At 47.3% G+C, this 15,038-nt stretch overlaps 1 protein-coding gene and 1 pseudogene across 12 annotated transcripts in view, besides 6 other annotated features; both read left to right on the top strand.

Moving 5' to 3' along the window:
- Positions 1-455: 455 nt before the first annotated feature.
- EIF4ENIF1 (eukaryotic translation initiation factor 4E nuclear import factor 1) overlaps positions 456-15,038 on the top strand; it is a 56,606-nt gene continuing 42,023 nt past the window's right edge. For 5 of the 12 annotated variants that reach the window (XR_007067979.1, XR_007067978.1, NM_001164502.2 and 2 more), the window contains exons 1-2: positions 4,182-4,330; positions 5,279-5,401. Coding sequence is in view for 8 of the 12 variants with exons in the window: in NM_001164502.2 (NP_001157974.1) it covers positions 5,306-5,401 (96 nt within the window). In the remaining 4 variants the exon portion in view is untranslated. Of the gene's footprint in view, positions 4,120-4,181; positions 4,331-4,467; positions 4,877-5,278; positions 5,402-15,038 lie in introns of those variants that run through there. The other 7 variants (XM_011530280.3, XM_005261688.4, NM_001164501.2 and 4 more) reach the window with 4 other exon arrangements.
- Positions 3,168-3,227: an enhancer, noted in NCBI's record as "active region_18858". NCBI's record gives its function as "activates an Ori minimal core promoter by ATAC-STARR-seq in GM12878 lymphoblastoid cells {active_cell/tissue: GM12878}" and the evidence as "EXISTENCE:reporter gene assay evidence [ECO:0000049][PMID:35858748]".
- Positions 3,627-4,249: an enhancer, noted in NCBI's record as "H3K27ac hESC enhancer chr22:31885761-31886383 (GRCh37/hg19 assembly coordinates)". NCBI's record gives its function as "activates a minimal SCP1, AML or CMV promoter by ChIP-STARR-seq in naive H9 embryonic stem cells {active_cell/tissue: H9 hESC(naive)}" and the evidence as "EXISTENCE:reporter gene assay evidence [ECO:0000049][PMID:30033119]".
- Positions 3,627-4,873: a biological region, named in NCBI's record as "H3K27ac hESC enhancers GRCh37_chr22:31885137-31885760 and GRCh37_chr22:31885761-31886383".
- Positions 3,778-4,427: a silencer, noted in NCBI's record as "silent region_13633". NCBI's record gives its function as "represses an Ori minimal core promoter by ATAC-STARR-seq in GM12878 lymphoblastoid cells {active_cell/tissue: GM12878}" and the evidence as "EXISTENCE:reporter gene assay evidence [ECO:0000049][PMID:35858748]".
- Positions 4,250-4,873: an enhancer, noted in NCBI's record as "H3K27ac hESC enhancer chr22:31885137-31885760 (GRCh37/hg19 assembly coordinates)". NCBI's record gives its function as "activates a minimal SCP1, AML or CMV promoter by ChIP-STARR-seq in naive H9 embryonic stem cells {active_cell/tissue: H9 hESC(naive)}" and the evidence as "EXISTENCE:reporter gene assay evidence [ECO:0000049][PMID:30033119]".
- Positions 4,508-4,797: a silencer, noted in NCBI's record as "silent region_13632". NCBI's record gives its function as "represses an Ori minimal core promoter by ATAC-STARR-seq in GM12878 lymphoblastoid cells {active_cell/tissue: GM12878}" and the evidence as "EXISTENCE:reporter gene assay evidence [ECO:0000049][PMID:35858748]".
- On the top strand, positions 14,536-14,639 carry RNU6-28P (RNA, U6 small nuclear 28, pseudogene; annotated as a pseudogene).

The following is a 15,038-nucleotide window of genomic DNA, read 5'->3' as shown; positions in this document are numbered from 1 at the left end:
AGCTGGGATTACAGGCATATGCTACCACGCCCAGCTAATTTTGTATTTTTAGTAGAGACGGGGTTTGGTCACGTTGGCCAGGCTGGTCTAGAATTCCTGATCTCAAGTGATCCTCCCACCTTAGCCTCCCAAAGTGCTAGGATCACAGGCATGAGCCACCATGTCCGGCCAGTTTCTGGTATTTTCATTTGCTTCTCTGCTGTTCTTGGACTGCTAATTTCCCCGACTGACTGAACCTTTGAGACCCCTTATGCCAAACTTTGGGCCAACAATTTAGACCTAAACCAAGATCTTACACATATTTAGTAAAGAACTAGAATAATTTCTCTCTCAAAGAGCTTTCCCAAGCTGATACTTGAAAATTGGTTATTAGTTGCAGAAGGGGGCATTTAGAATTACAAATTATTGGCCTGGCACGATGGCTCACACCCAGCACTTTCGGAACCCAAGGTTGGGGGATCACGTGAGGTCAGGAGTTCAGACCAGCCTGGCCAACATGGTGAAACCCCATCTCTACTAAAAATACAAAAGTTAGCCAGGTGTGGTGGCACAGGCCTGTAGTCCCAGCTTCTTGGGAGGCTGAGGCATGAGAATTGCTTGAACTCAGGAGGCAGAGGTTGAGTGAGCCGATTGTGCCACTGCACTCTAGCCTGGGCGACAGAGCAAAACTTGGTCTCAAAAAATTACAAGTTATAGGCCAGGCGCGGTGGCTCACACCTGTAATCACAACACTTTGGGAGGCCAAGGCGGGTGGATCATGAAGTCAGGAGATCGAGACCATCCTGGCTAACGTGGTGAAACCCTGTCTCTACTAAAAATAAAAAATTTAGCCGGGCGTGGTGGCGGGCGCCTGTAGTCCCAGCTACTCGGGAGGCTGAGGCAGAATGGCCTGAACCCAGGGGGCAGAGCTTGCAGTGAGCCGAGATTACGCTACTGCACTCCAGCCTGGACGACAGAGCGAGACTCCGTCTCAAAAAAAAATTACAAATTATCAGGCCGGGCGTGGTAGCTCATGCCTGTAATCCCAGCACTTTGGGAGGCCGAGGTGGGCGGATCATGAGGTCAGGAGTTTGAGACCAGCCTGACCAACATGGTGAAATCCTGTCTCTACTAAAAATACAAAAATTAGCTGGGCGTGGTGGCATGCGCCTGTAATCCCAGCTACTCAGGAGGCTGAGGCAGGAGAATCACTTGAACCTGGGAGGCAGAGGTTGCAGTGAACCAAGATCACACCATTGCACTCCAGCCTGGGCGATACAGCGAGACTCCTTCTCAAAAAATAAAAAATAAAAATAAAAATTATCCTGCCAAGGAGAGTAACACTCAAAAACTACAATGAAACAAGAATTTGCAATTTGTAAGCATCTAGCTTTTGCCAGGCACAGGTGAAAGAAGTTTAGGGAAGCCTCCCTTAGATTATTACCTTTTTTCCTAGGTAATAACCATCTTCTTCTATAAGGACAGAGTGAGACTTTGAGAGGTAAGAAATGAGTTGAGGCCAAAGTTCTACAAGACATTAAAGGAGCCTAGTGGAAAAGTAGGTCCTAAGTAGGATAGACCAGAGGGCTCAGGAAATTAGTTCCAGCTATCAAATCATGATAGCTACAATGCCCTGGGCACTGATATCATGTATGGCTTGTGGTGGTTTAAAACATGCCTACACATTCCTTGACATTCCTCCCACATAGAGGTGGAGTCTAAGTTCCTTTGCTTTGAATATAGGGTAGCCGTGCTGACTCCTTTCTAAGGAACAGAATGTGGCACGTGGTAGAACTGATTCCAGGGCTAGGTTAGGAAAGGCAATACAGCAACTATATGGCTTTCTTGTTCGCTCTCTGAACACTTGCCCTTAGAATCCAGCCCTGATATTTCAAGGAAGCTCAGACACAGGGAGAGGCCATGTGTAAGTGTTCCAGGGACAGCTCTAATGGTCCCAGGTCCTAGCTGACAGCCACCATCAACCACCAGACATGTACGCTTTTACGGGACCCTCAGCCCCAGCCTTTGGGCTGCCCCCACTGGTGCTGAATGGATCAGAAACCAGCCGTCCCAGCAGGAACCAGCCCATTTTGCAGATTTGAGAGCAAAATATAATTGGAATTCTGGGGTGGTTTGTTACGTAACAGTAGGTAACCAGAAATCCATAATTTCCGGGTTTCTAGTATTTTCTTTTTCAAGAAAGCTCAGGTGTGGTGGCTCATGCCTGTAATCCCAGTGCTTTTGGAGGCTGAGGCAGGAGGATCACTTGAGGCCAGGAATTTGAGACCAGCCTGAGCAACATAGCAAGATCCCGTCTCTGCAAAAAATCGTTAAAAATTAGCCTGCTGTAGTGGCAGGAGCCTGTAGTCCCAGCTATTTGGGAGGCTGAGGCTGGAGCAGTGAGCTATGATTGTGCCATTGCTTTCCAGCCTGGATGACAGAGCAAGACTTCATCACCCCCAAAATAAAATAACCAGAGCAGTGTTTTTAATGTTATCTTTAATTCCCTCTGCAAGCCTAAAAAGTAGGTATACTGCGATCCCTTTCGGAAAAATGAGGAAAGGGAGATCCAGGTGGTGAAATGCCTGGCTCAGGTTTCACACTAATTGGCAGGGTCAGGATTTAGCAGCTTCAAAGAACGGGCCTTCTCCACTACTCCAGGGAGTCTCCAAGACACTAAAGGGGATTAGACCTGTTTCCCACAGCTTTAGGAAGAATTTGGATTCCAAAAACAGCTTGATTGTTAAAATAATAACATCTGTATTATCACCTGCAACGTGTCTCTGTATAGGCTTAAAAAGGCTCAGCAGCTTTATGGGTTATATATGGTTTTTTACCCACCTTATCCTGTTTAATCTTAACTGCCCCATGAGCAGGTTATATCATCTTCGCAATTTCACAGGTAAAACTAAGAATCAATAGACTAACTCTCCATAGCTTGTAGGAGGTGGCAGAGATGAGAATGCAAACTCAGGCCTGATGTGCAAGTGTTTCCCTCTGCCTCTTGCCTGTAAAAAAACAGTTTGTAAGAAACACACTTTATTCAGTAATACAAACGAAAAGTTTTCTGTTGCCAAGATTCACAAGAAGGGAGCTGAGTTAGTGGTCACTCACTGCCCAACACCCTAATTTCACAAGTGAAGTGAAGTTCCAACAAAGTAGGCCTCTTGGAAGAAATGTAGACGTTGCTGTCCTTTAACCAGGAAAATTGCGTTCTCGGGACTTCACGCCTATGTATCGCTTCACACCAACGCTGCGCAGTACCACAGGGCAGAAATGGGTGCTTGTGGTATTCCAGCACATAGGACTTCCTCCCCAGGATGCAGTTACCCACACTGCTCACATATTTGCATTTCTGTGGCCCCCTGTCAGCCTGAGTCTGCACTACGTGGTAAGCACTTGACATTCGCCGTCTCATTTCCCCAACTCCACTCGCACTTCCCCTTTCTGTGCAGGCTAAGGACAGATTCAGGTTACCGGAGGGAAACAACATTTCAATGAATTTGTTAGTCGCCTTTATCGCTATCAAAGCCAATCGTGACAAGTTTGTCTTTTAATGCAGCAACCAGTACTCGCGCATAAGCCTCATAGATTTACAGAGGCCATTTTAGAAACACGACCGAAACTTAGGTTAAGTCAGCTTTGCCTAAGATCACGCCACTCGCAAAACAGCTGAGGTTCGAACCCGCACTGGGAAGGCTCGGAAGACCCCAATCTCCTATCTCAAATTCCCACTGCCGAAGCCCCACGGTTCTCTGCCTATGCGAACCATGCAAATACAGCGGTCGTCGCGCCACAGGCCGTGCTAGCCGCCAGCCCAGCCCCATCTAGCCACCGCCTCCGGGAGAGTGGCGTGCCGCGAGTCGCGGGTCCCAAGTGCCGTCCGCTCTGCCCTGCAGCGCGCGTGGGAACGCGGCGGCGGTGGCCTCTGGGCTGCCCACGGCGACCGCCTGCGCGCACGGGAGCGGGTTTCCGCTATCCCCACCGTGGCCTCCTCCTCGCCGCCACCACCTTCCCACCCCCCGGCCCGCGCAGGGGCTGGCGTCCGGGAAGCGCGCGGCGATGCTTCTTTTTCGCCCGGCACCGCTGCAGCCACCTCACATCCGGGCGCGCGGCGGGGAAGGCGGCGCCGGGGCCAGGGTGCGTGGAGGGAGTTATTAAGGGGGAGGGGGCCGAAGAGGAGGGGCGGAGGGCCGGGCTGCAGTTACGGCGGCTGAAGAGAGACAGCCCAAGCCGGTCGGGGTGGGGGCGCGAGAGCGAAGGCTGCGGGGAGCGGCGCTGGGACCGGTGCGGGCAGCGGGGAGGGGAGCGGCGGCCGAGGCAAAGGGCCGCCGAGCGGCGGAGGCACCGAGTAAGGGTCGGCGGCGGTGGCGGCTGGGTCCGGGGCACCGCGCGCCCGGTGCTCCCGGGTGTAGAAGGGGCGCGGGCGCATTGCTCCCGGGGTCGCGTGCGTGAGCGCGGGCGCCGGGGCGCCCGCAGGGGGTGGGCAGGGGCGCGAGGCCCGCAAGGCGGCCGGCGGGTAGCCGGCGGGCTGGCTGGCGGGGACCGAGCCGCCGGGCCGGGGAGGACGGCTGCGGGCCTGCGCTAGCTCCAGCTTGAAGCGCCCGGGCCGGGAGATTCGGCCTCCCTCCTCCCTGCGGCCGGCCGCCCCTCAGTGAGTACGGTCTCCGCCCTTCCTCCGAAGGAGGCCGCTGGGCCCGGGCCTGCGTGAGGGGCTGCGGGTTGGGGTCGCGGCCCGGGGAAGCCAAGTTTCGGAGCTGAAGCCGGTGCTCGCCCTTTCCTTGCCATCGGCGCCCCTGACATGGCCACAGGTGCGGCTGGCCTGGCGAGGGGCGCTCGGGCCCCGTCCCCAGTCCCTGATCGCCGGATAACAAGGGGCAGCTGGCGCCGTCCATTGGCAAGTGACAGGCACTTTCCAACAGACTTCGCGGGTTCCCAGCCTAACCAGTCTTCTACCTGCCCCCACTCCGGGAAACTTCCCCACCAGTCTTGAAAGATCCCCATGGGTGGCAGCTACTAATCTTGGTTTCTCTTGTGTTAAAGCTGCTTAAAGGTTATATACCTTGAATTGGGCACCTTCTACTTTTTACCATGTTGATGCTTAGGATACTAGGAAAGAGAACTGAGTACCAATGATTCTATCTCCAAGTTCTAATTTATAGCATAATTTTGGGGTGGGGACTTGTTTTTAACACTAGCTGTTTTGAGAGATTAAAAAGTTTCAGCTTCTGAAGAAACAGCCAAGATTTCTGAAAACTTACTGTTCTCGGTGACAATTTTGTGCCGATTTATCTTCCAGGTGCAGAGCATTGTAGACCAAGGAGCCATGGATAGGAGAAGTATGGGTGAAACAGAAAGTGGAGATGCTTTCCTTGACCTGAAGAAGCCTCCTGCCTCCAAATGCCCCCATCGCTATACAAAAGTAAGGTTTGCCACTAATGAAATAGTGTTTCTTTTTAGGTGGCGAAGTTAGTAACATTGTATAACTATTTCATTCCTATTAAGTGGTAATCTCATTCTGACTCACTACATGGACTAAATATTAACTAAATTTAGTAGTGCATTACTTTGAACATTTTTCTGCAAGTGTAGATACCCAGCGTTTAAGCTGGAATTTGCTTTGAGAGGCTTTTAGGTGAAGGGAATGTAGGCTTAGATTTTTTTAAAATTGCGGATCAGTATACTTTGTAAGTTCTGTAACAGCTATGTAATTGGTACGTTTATTGATTTACATACTGTACTGTGAGGATTAAAGCCCTAGGATGCGTTACAAAGTTAGTGTCCTCTGTATTGATGTTTCCTTAAGAGGCAGACTCCCCATAGGAATGCTCTTGAGTGTGCTTTTCATGGGTAACTGGCTTTTCAATCCTGTTTTTTTATTTTCTATTACAAATTGGATATGGACTCAAAAAAGTAAGGCTTCAGTCATATTTCCCCTAGCTAAAAACTGGAGATGCTTAAACTGCTTGTCCAGATAACTGCTTTTGGGAGAGAGAGGAAGTCATATTTATTAAAGATCTTGCATCAGTACATGTCTTGTTGGCTACTGAATGTTTTTGAAGAGGTTGACAGGACTCAAATTGTAAATTCATTTCTGGGTCCCTGAAATGTGTCAGGCTGGATCCCATAAAACTTGCTCAACAGTGTTGAAGCAGTTGGGACCACTGATGACAAGAAGGGTTATATCCTAGTTGGGCACACATCCATATATTTCCTTAGTATGGATTTTTCTTTTTTTTTTTTTTTTTTTTGCACCCGACAGGGCGTCACTTTGTCGCCGAGGCTGGAATGCAGTGGTGCAATCATGGCTCACTGCAGCCTGGACCTCCCGGGCTCAAGCCATCCTCCCATCTCAGTCTCCTGAGTAGCTGGGACCACAGGCGTGCACCAGTACGCTCGGCTAATTTTTGTATTTTTTATAGAGATGGGAATTCGCCATGTTGCCCAGGCAAACTCCTGGGCTTAAGCAATCCGCCCACCTTGGCCTCCCAAAGTGTTGGGATTACAGGGGTGAGCCACTGTGCCAGGCCTCAGTCATTGACTCTGACATGGCTTATTGTCCCTGGCTTCCTGGGATACTGATTGGTTAATGCTTTAAAGCCAGCTCTTGTTTGTGTTCTGGTGCACTACTCTTACCTACTTGATAAAGTATCAAATACTGTCAGATTAATACTCATTTTCAGCACTGAAGGAAACTGAACTGCAGTAAGAGAAATGTTTTCAGGTGTAAAGTGTTCTTGGTTGATTGCTCTCTTAGGATGATCTGTTTTGGTATGACAGCATGTAAGTTGATAGAAAACTTTTTCCACATTCAGATTTGGTCTTCCCAAATATATTTTCTCTCAAACCTGAGAGTGTTTGAGTAGTGTTTCACAACTTAAATTCATTTCCTAAAATGCTGACAGGTGAATTCTGAATGGAGAAAAGCCATCAAATGAAGGGAAAAGAAAATCTTCCAGTACTTTTTTTTTTTTGAGATGGAGTTTTACTCTTGTTGCCCAGGCTGGAGTGCAATGGCACCACCTCTGCCTCCTAAGTTCAAGTGATTCTCCTGCCTCAGCCTCCTGAGTAGCTGGGATTACAGGCACGCGTCAACATGCCCAGCTGATTTTTTTTTTTTTTTTATAGTAGAGACGGGGTTTCTCCATGTTGGTCAGGCTAGTCTCGAACTCCCAACCTCAGGTGATCTGCCCGCCTTGGCCTCCCAAAGTGCTGGGATCACAGGCGTGAGCCACTGCGCCCAGCCGTTCCAGTACTTATTTTTTTGTTTCTTTGAGACGGAGTCTCGCTCTATCACCAGAGTGCAATGGTGCGATCTTGATTCACTAGCCTCTGCCTCCTGGGTTCAAGTGATTATCCTGCATCAGCCTCCCAAGTAGCTGGGACTACAGGCGTGCGCCACCATGCCCAGCTAATTTTTGTAGTTTTAGTGGAGACGGGATCTTGCCATGTTGGCCAGGCTGGTCTTGAAATCCTGAACTCAAGTGATTCACCTGCCTCAGCCTCCCAAAGTGCTGGGATTACACGTGTGAGCCACTGCACCTGGCCCCCTTCCAGTACTTTTTGTTTATTATTTTTTTTGAGCCGGAGTCTCACTGTGTCGCCCAGGCTGGAGTGTAGTGGTGCAATCTCGGCTCACTGCAACCTCTGCCTCCCTGGTTCAAGCGATTCTCCTGCCTCAGCCTCCCAAGTAGCTGGGACTACAGGTGCACGCTGCCACACCCAGCTAATTTTGTTTTTGTATTTTTATTTTTATTTTTATTTTTTTTTTTTTGAGACGGAGTTTCGCTCTTGTCGCCGAGGCTGGAGTGCAATGATGCTATCTCGGCTCACTGCAGTCTCCGCCTCCGGGGTTCAAGTGATTCTGCTGCCTCAGCCTCCCAAGTAGCTGGGATTACAGGCATGTGCCACCACGCCCAGCTCATTTTTGTATTTTTAGTAGAGACAGGGTTTTGCCATGTTGGCCAGGCTGGTCTCAAACTCCTGACCTCGCTGGTCTCGAACTCCTGACCTCAGGTGATCCACCCGCCTCGGCCCCCCAAAATGCTGGAATTATAGGTGTGAGCCACTGCACCTGGCCTATTTTTTTTTGTATTTTTAGTAGAGACGGTTTCACTGTGTTGCTGGTGTTGAACTCCTGAGCTCAGGTGATCCACCCACCTAGGCCTCCCAAAGTGCTGGGATTATAGGTGTGAGCCACCGAGCCTGGCCCCTTCCAGTACTTTTATTTTTATTTTTTTGAGATGGAGTTTCACTCCTGCTGCTCAGGCTGGAGTGCAATGGCACGATCTTGGCTCACTGCAACCTCCGCTTCCCGGGTTCAAGCAATTCTCCTGCCTCAGCCTCCTGAGTAGGTGGGATTACAGGCATGCACCACCATGCCTGGCTAATTTTGTATGTTGGTCAGTCCTGTCTTGAACTCCTGACCTCAGGTGATCCACCCACCTCAGCCTTCCAAAGTGCTGGGATTATAGGTGTGAGCCACCACACCCACCCTTTCCAGTATTTTTTTCACTAAAGTTCTAACCAGTAGTCTACTGGTAGAGTCCAGGCAGAGAGGCTTTTGAATCACTTTCACACACCGATCAGAGGTTAACATGTATATTTCATCTTTGTGTATGTTTCTATCTTTATGCTTACATCATTTTTAGGGAGATATTTCTCTTTCTTAGGGTAGGACTTATGTTTCTTTGCAGTAAAGATTAAGAACCTCAGTATTGTCCATTTTTGACAGTCCAGCCTCAGAATTCTGTCATACGTAGATAAATGTGCCTTGAAGAACTGGTTAAAAGCATTTTTTAGCTTAATGACAGTGGAGCTTAGATTTAAGTCTTTTCTACCAAATTAATTGGAAATAGGTTTACTTTCTACTCTTAAGAGGATTTAGTTAATGACAATTTTAGGATAGTGTTTAGGCAGTGTTAGGGTAGTGCTTTCATGGTTTTCAACACTCTAGTAATTCTATGCGGGACTTGGGGATAAAGAAGTCTTCTCCCTTTAAAGAGAGCTTGAAATGATTATGTGTTCCTAGCACTATAATAAATATGTTAGTTCCACAACTGGAATAATATTCAAACCATCCTTCTTCCTTGTCTATGTACTGAGATCAAAGTACTGGAATAAATAGACTTTAATGATGTTTCTGCCACTTCAAGTTCACGGGCTAGAAGATCTAGAAGCAGTAGAGGGAAACTGTTTTCACTGGTGATTTTGAGGTGGAGTTTCACTCTTGTTGCCCAGGCTGGAGTGCAATGGCGCCATCTCCGCTCACCGCAACCTCCGCCCCAGGTTCAACCTATTCTCCTGCTTCACCTTCCTGAGTAGCTGGGATTACAAGCATGCGCCACCACGCCCGGCTAATTTTTGTCTTTTTAGTAGTGACAGGGTTTCTCCATGTTGGTCAGGCTGGTGTCAAACTCCCGACCTCAGGTGATCCGCCCACCTTGGCTTCCCAAACTGCTGGGATTACAGGTGTGAGCCGGCCGGTGATTTTTTTTTTTTTTTAAATAGGTGGTGTATTCTGTGGAAACTTGTAGCTGTGTATGTTTACTTACAGGGTCAAAAAAACACGTTGGCCAGATGAGAGGGCCCCTTAACCATTGACCCTTCTTAGTTTAGTGTTCAGTTGCTTTCTGGGATAATGTTAGTAGTTTGTTGTTCAGAATTCGAAGAGTTTTTGTTTTTCCCCCATGAGTAGAAGAAGTATAAATGTTTTGGTCAGGTGCTTTTCAGAGTAATGTACCAGAGTTTCCTTTTGTGTGAAGACATCCTTTAGTTAGCTTGTTTCGCAAATGTTAATATGCCTGGGGGATCACCTTTAGGCCTTGGGAAAGGAATTCTGAGTGGTAAGCAGGGGTGGTCCTGAAGATTCTACTTTTTAACCCACTCCCAAGTGGTGCACATGCTGCTGGTCCACTGACTATACTTTAAGTATCAAGGCTTTGGTCTTCCTTAGAGAACTTGATAAATGGTGTTGGTGGTGTCAAGTAACTCAGATGCATAGTTATTCTTTGGGGTTCAGATGATGTTCATTGTGCTTCGAAGAATATTTTAGGACCTCAAGTTAGAGTCACATTGGGTGCATTCAGACCTACTCCTAAATCTCATTGTGGGATGGTTATAAATGGGTTTATCATATGCACCTGTTACCCTGAGGGTCTTGAACCCCTAAGTTATAAATGCTGGTCTGTTTTCTAGGCCACATTCCTAAGACCAAAAGCTATATTTTGGTAGTATCTAAGTATGCATTTTTAAAGTGATCGGATCATGTTGAAGGACTTTTGGAGGTTATAGAGTGGGGTCTCACCTGAAAGTTATGGTTTAAGAGTGGTTTAGACAGTGGTTCTCAAAGTGTGCTCCCTGAACTAGCATTAGCATCATCTGGTAACTTGTTAGAAATACAAATCTCAGGCCTCTTCTCAGTGGTATTAAAGGAGAAACTTGGGGAGTAGAGCTTAACCGTCTGCATTTAACAAGCTCTTCAGGGGATTCTGGCTCTGGTTCAAGTTTGAGAACCATTGGCTTAAGAAATGATCACCTGCTCGCTGGGTGTGGTGGCTCACACTTGTAATCCCAGCAGTTAGGGAGACTGAGATGGGAGGATTGCTTGAGCCCAGGAGTTCAAGACCAGCCTGGGCAGGATGACAAGACCCTGTCACTACAAAAAAAATTTAAAAATTAGCTAGGTATGGTGGCGTATTGCCTGTAGTCTCAGCTACACAGGGGACTGAGGTGAGAGAATCGTTTGAGGCTGCAGTGAGCCATCATCGCGCCATTTCACTACAGCCTGTGCAACAAAAAGAGACCCTGTCTCAAAAAAAAAAAAAAAAAAAAAAGATCGTCTCCTGGCAGTGGTGCTCATTCAACTTTTTCTTCACCAGAAGCCCTTGTTCACCAGTTCTGGAATATAGTACCTGCTATTCTGTTAGTGATGCCATCTTCTGCTTGAAATACAAAATAGAAATGTTTTAGGCCATCCCACTATTCAGATCCATGTGGTTTTCTTTTCTGTTTTTTTGTTTTGAGACAGAGTCTCTGTCTGTCGCCAGGCTGGAGTGCAGTGGCCCTATGTCGGCTCACTGCAACCTCTGCCTCCCGGGTTCAAGCAATTTCCCTACCTCAGCCTCTTGAGTAGCTGGGACTACAGGCGCGTGCCTCCATGCCCAGCTAATTTTTTTTACATTTTAGTAGAGATGGGGTTTCACCATGTTGGCCAGGATGGTCTCGATCTCCTGATCTCATGATCCACCCACCTTGGCCTCCTAAAGTGCTCTGATTACAGGCGTGAGCCACCACGCCTGGCCTCACATCCATGTTATTTTCGTCAAGTGAATAGACTAATCTGTTTTTTTTTGTTTGTTTTTGAGACCGCGTCTCACTCTGTCACCCAGGCTGGAGTGCAGTGTTGCAATCTTGGCTCACTGCAACCTCTGCTTCCCAGGTTCAAGCAATTCTCCTGCCTCAGCCTCCTGAGTAGCTGGGATTACAGGCACGTGCCATGATGCCCAGCTAATTTTTGTATTTTTATTAGAAACGGGGTTTCACCATATTGGTAAGGTTGGTCTCAAACTCCTGACCTCAAGTGATCCACCTGCCGTGGCCTGCCAAAGTGCTGGGATTACAGGCGTGAGCTACCGCACCCGGCCAAATAGACTAATCTTATAAAGGATACATACGTTATGCTGTTCTTCCTTTGCTCCTGTGTTTTGCCACTGATTCCTTATTAAATGACTGTCACCTGCCAGTTGGACAGGGAATAAAAGCAGAGACACTCAGAACATTCAGCTTGATACTGACCAGTGTTAAACATGCGTATTAAAGTTAAGTGAATGTTGAATTATCTTAGTTTAACTTCATGTGGAATTTTTTTTTTTTTTTTTGAGACAGGCTCTCACTGTTATCCAGGCTGGAGTGCAGTGGTACAGTTAACTCACTGCAGCCTCGAACTCTGCATTCATGCGATCCTTCCACCTCAGCCTCCTGAGTAGCTAGGACTACAGGTGTGTGTCACCACACATGGCTAATTTTTTCATTTCTTTGTAGAGATAGGATCTCATTATGTTGCCCAGGCTGGTCTCCAACTCCTGACCTCAAGCGATCCTCCTGCCTCAGCCTCCTAAAGTGCTGGAATTCCAGGTGTGAGCCACTGCATCTGGCCCCATGTGGACTCCTCATAACCTTGACTAGTTACAAAGTGGCATTATTGTAGTCATTAGTGTCTCCAGGGATCTTTAAGGGAGGCCATCCTAATTTGTGGCTGGTAGGCCAATTGGTCATAGCAGTCAGTACAGCCATGTTTGTCTTTCCTTTAAAACAATCAGGAAAATGGACAAGCAGTTGAAGTGACTGACTTGAGTCATCCTAGCCTTCTTGGATATAATCAGAAGACTTGAAGCCAATCCCCAGAGAAAAGAGTAACTGATTTAAATCCTAGGTTGAAACAGGAATCAGGTGGTCCCTTTTTCCAGTACAGAAATCTTATTTGATAACTAAATGTATCTTTTATAAACTGAGTAGTAACTCAGGTGGCATTTCTGTGACAAATTTAGGTATAAACTTCTTAAACTAATTTAAGGATACCTATTTATGTTGGAGAAGGTAGAATTATGGTATGAAAAGTCATTGGGAGGACAAGGTGGGAGGATGAATTGAGTCCAGGAGTTCACGACCAGACTGGGCAATATAGTGAGACCCCATCTCGTTAAAAAAAAAAAAAATTGCCAGAGGTGGTGGTGTGCACCTGTGGTCCCAGATACTCAAGAGGCTAACGTGGGAGGATCACTTGAGCTTGGGAAGTTGAGCTTGCAGTGAGCTATGACTGCACCATTGCACTCCAGCATGGGCAACAGAGTGAGACTCTGTCTCAAAGGAAAAAAAAATTATTCAATCTTAATGTGTCAACTGTCCAGAAAACCTATCTTACTGGAAGTTGTTAGAGCAGGCTGGCTGGCAAGACCATAGAGAATAGCTTCTGACTGCTTTTTCCTACCCGTTCCTTTTTTGTTATTGTTGAGACAGAGTCTTGCACGATCTTGGCTCACTGCAACCTCCACCTCCCAGGTTGAAGTGATTCTCCTGCCTCAGCCTCCTGAGTAGTTGGGATTACAGGTGTGTGCCACCATGCCCAGCTGATTTTCTTTTTTTTAGTAGAGACGATTTCGCCATGTTGGCCAGGATGGTCTCAAACTCCTGACCTCAAGTGATCTGCCCACCTTGGTCTCCTAAAGTGCTGGGGTTACAGACGTGAGCCACTGCACCCGGCCCCTGCCTGTTCGGTTTTGTTTTGTTTTCAGAGGGAGTTTTGTTCCTGTTGCCCAGGCTGGAGTGCAATGGCGTGATCTTGGCTCACCACAACCTCTGCCTCCCGGGTTCAAGCGATTCTCCTGCCTTAGCCTCCCGAGTAGCTGGGACTACAGGCGCACGCCACCATGCCCGGCTAATTTTTTGTATTTTTAGTATAGATGGGGTTTCTCCATGTTAGGCTGGTCTCAAACTTCTGACCTCAGGTGATCTGCCCGTCTCACCCTCCCAAAGTGCTGGGATTACAGGCGTGAGCCACCACGCCCGCCCAGGAATATTTCCCTTTTAATCCCCCTTCCATAAATGTGACTTATGTGAAATTCTACATAATGTCAGAAGGTCCATCAGAATGCATAGTTGTTTCTGCATAGGATTTCTGCAGAAAGAAATGGATAAGGATTTTAACCATTGTTCTTTTGGGCTTTTGTTGAGATTCATTTGCTTTCCACTTTAATAGTGATCACCAAAAGTGGGTGTTCATACTAGTAATTCCCCAATAGGTTTTGGGAGCCTTGACACATTTTCTTTAAGGAAGGCTGCTGCAACTAAGAAAATATGTTTATGCTTCCTTGGGTGTGTGGCTCTTGGGCAATTAGCAGCTTGTTCTTGCCTAGTCAGGTTTTAGTAACCTGTGCAAAAAGTGAAGTCTCAGGTATTAACTCTTATATTCGCCATATGGTAATCTTAATGAATTCATTCGTGATCAGTAAGTTCCTATGGGTTAAGACTTTCCAGGCTAGGCACAGTGGCTCACACTTGTAATCCCAGCACTTTAGGAGGCTGAGGCAAGATGATCACTTGAGCCTAAGAGTTCAGACCAGCCTGGGCAACACAGCAAGACCTCATCTCTACAAAAAATTTTTTAAATTAGCTGGATGTGGTGGCATGCACCTGTAGTCTTAGCTGCTTGGGAGGCTGAGGCAAGAAAGATCACTTGAGTCCATGAGTTTTGAGGCTGCAGTGAGCTATGATCATGCCACTGCACTCCAGCCTGAGAGTGAGAACCTGTCTCAAAAAAAAAACTCCAAAAGGATAGATTAAAAAAAAAAAAAAAAAAACACCTTTCCAAAAGGGTAATATCACATCCTTTCTTGAAATACTCATAAGAAGGAAGCACTCCTAGTTAGAGTGGCCACTTCCCAAGTATTCTGTCTTTAGCCATAGTTGAACGTTTTCTTTGAAAATATCCCAAAGGGGTATTTCCACGAATAATGTTAAGGGCTCTTGATGAGATGGCAAGTTTAAGAACTCTTTTCATGCTTGCTTCGGCAGCACATATACTAAAATTGCAACAATACAGAGAAGATTAGCATGGCCCCTGCGCAAGGATGACACGCAAATTCATGAAGTGTTCCATATTTAAAAAAAAAAAAGACTCTTCTCTTGTCCAGGCATGGTGGCTCACACCCGTAATCCTAACACTTTGGGAGGCCGAGGCAAACGGATTACCTGAGCTCAGGCAGCCTGGCCAACATGATGAAACCGCATCTCTACTAAAATACAAGAAAAACATTAGCCGGGCATGGCGGCATGAGCCTGTAATCCCACCTACTCAGGAGGCTGAGGCAGCAGAATTGCTTGAACGCTGGAGGCAGAGGTTGCAGTGAGCTGAGATCGCCTTGGTGACAGAGTGAGATTCCATCTCCAAAAAAAAAAAAAAATTTCTTTCGAGAGACTGGAAGAGCTGTAGGGGTGGGGACAAGAGTCATCTGTCTATGTGTGGCACTAAACTGGGCACACAGGATATATTATGTGGACAG

This window comes from Homo sapiens, chromosome 22 (assembly GCF_000001405.40).
Source record: "Homo sapiens chromosome 22, GRCh38.p14 Primary Assembly".
Lineage (NCBI taxonomy): Eukaryota > Metazoa > Chordata > Mammalia > Primates > Hominidae > Homo > Homo sapiens.
This window is presented reverse-complemented; position numbering and strand designations above follow the sequence as displayed.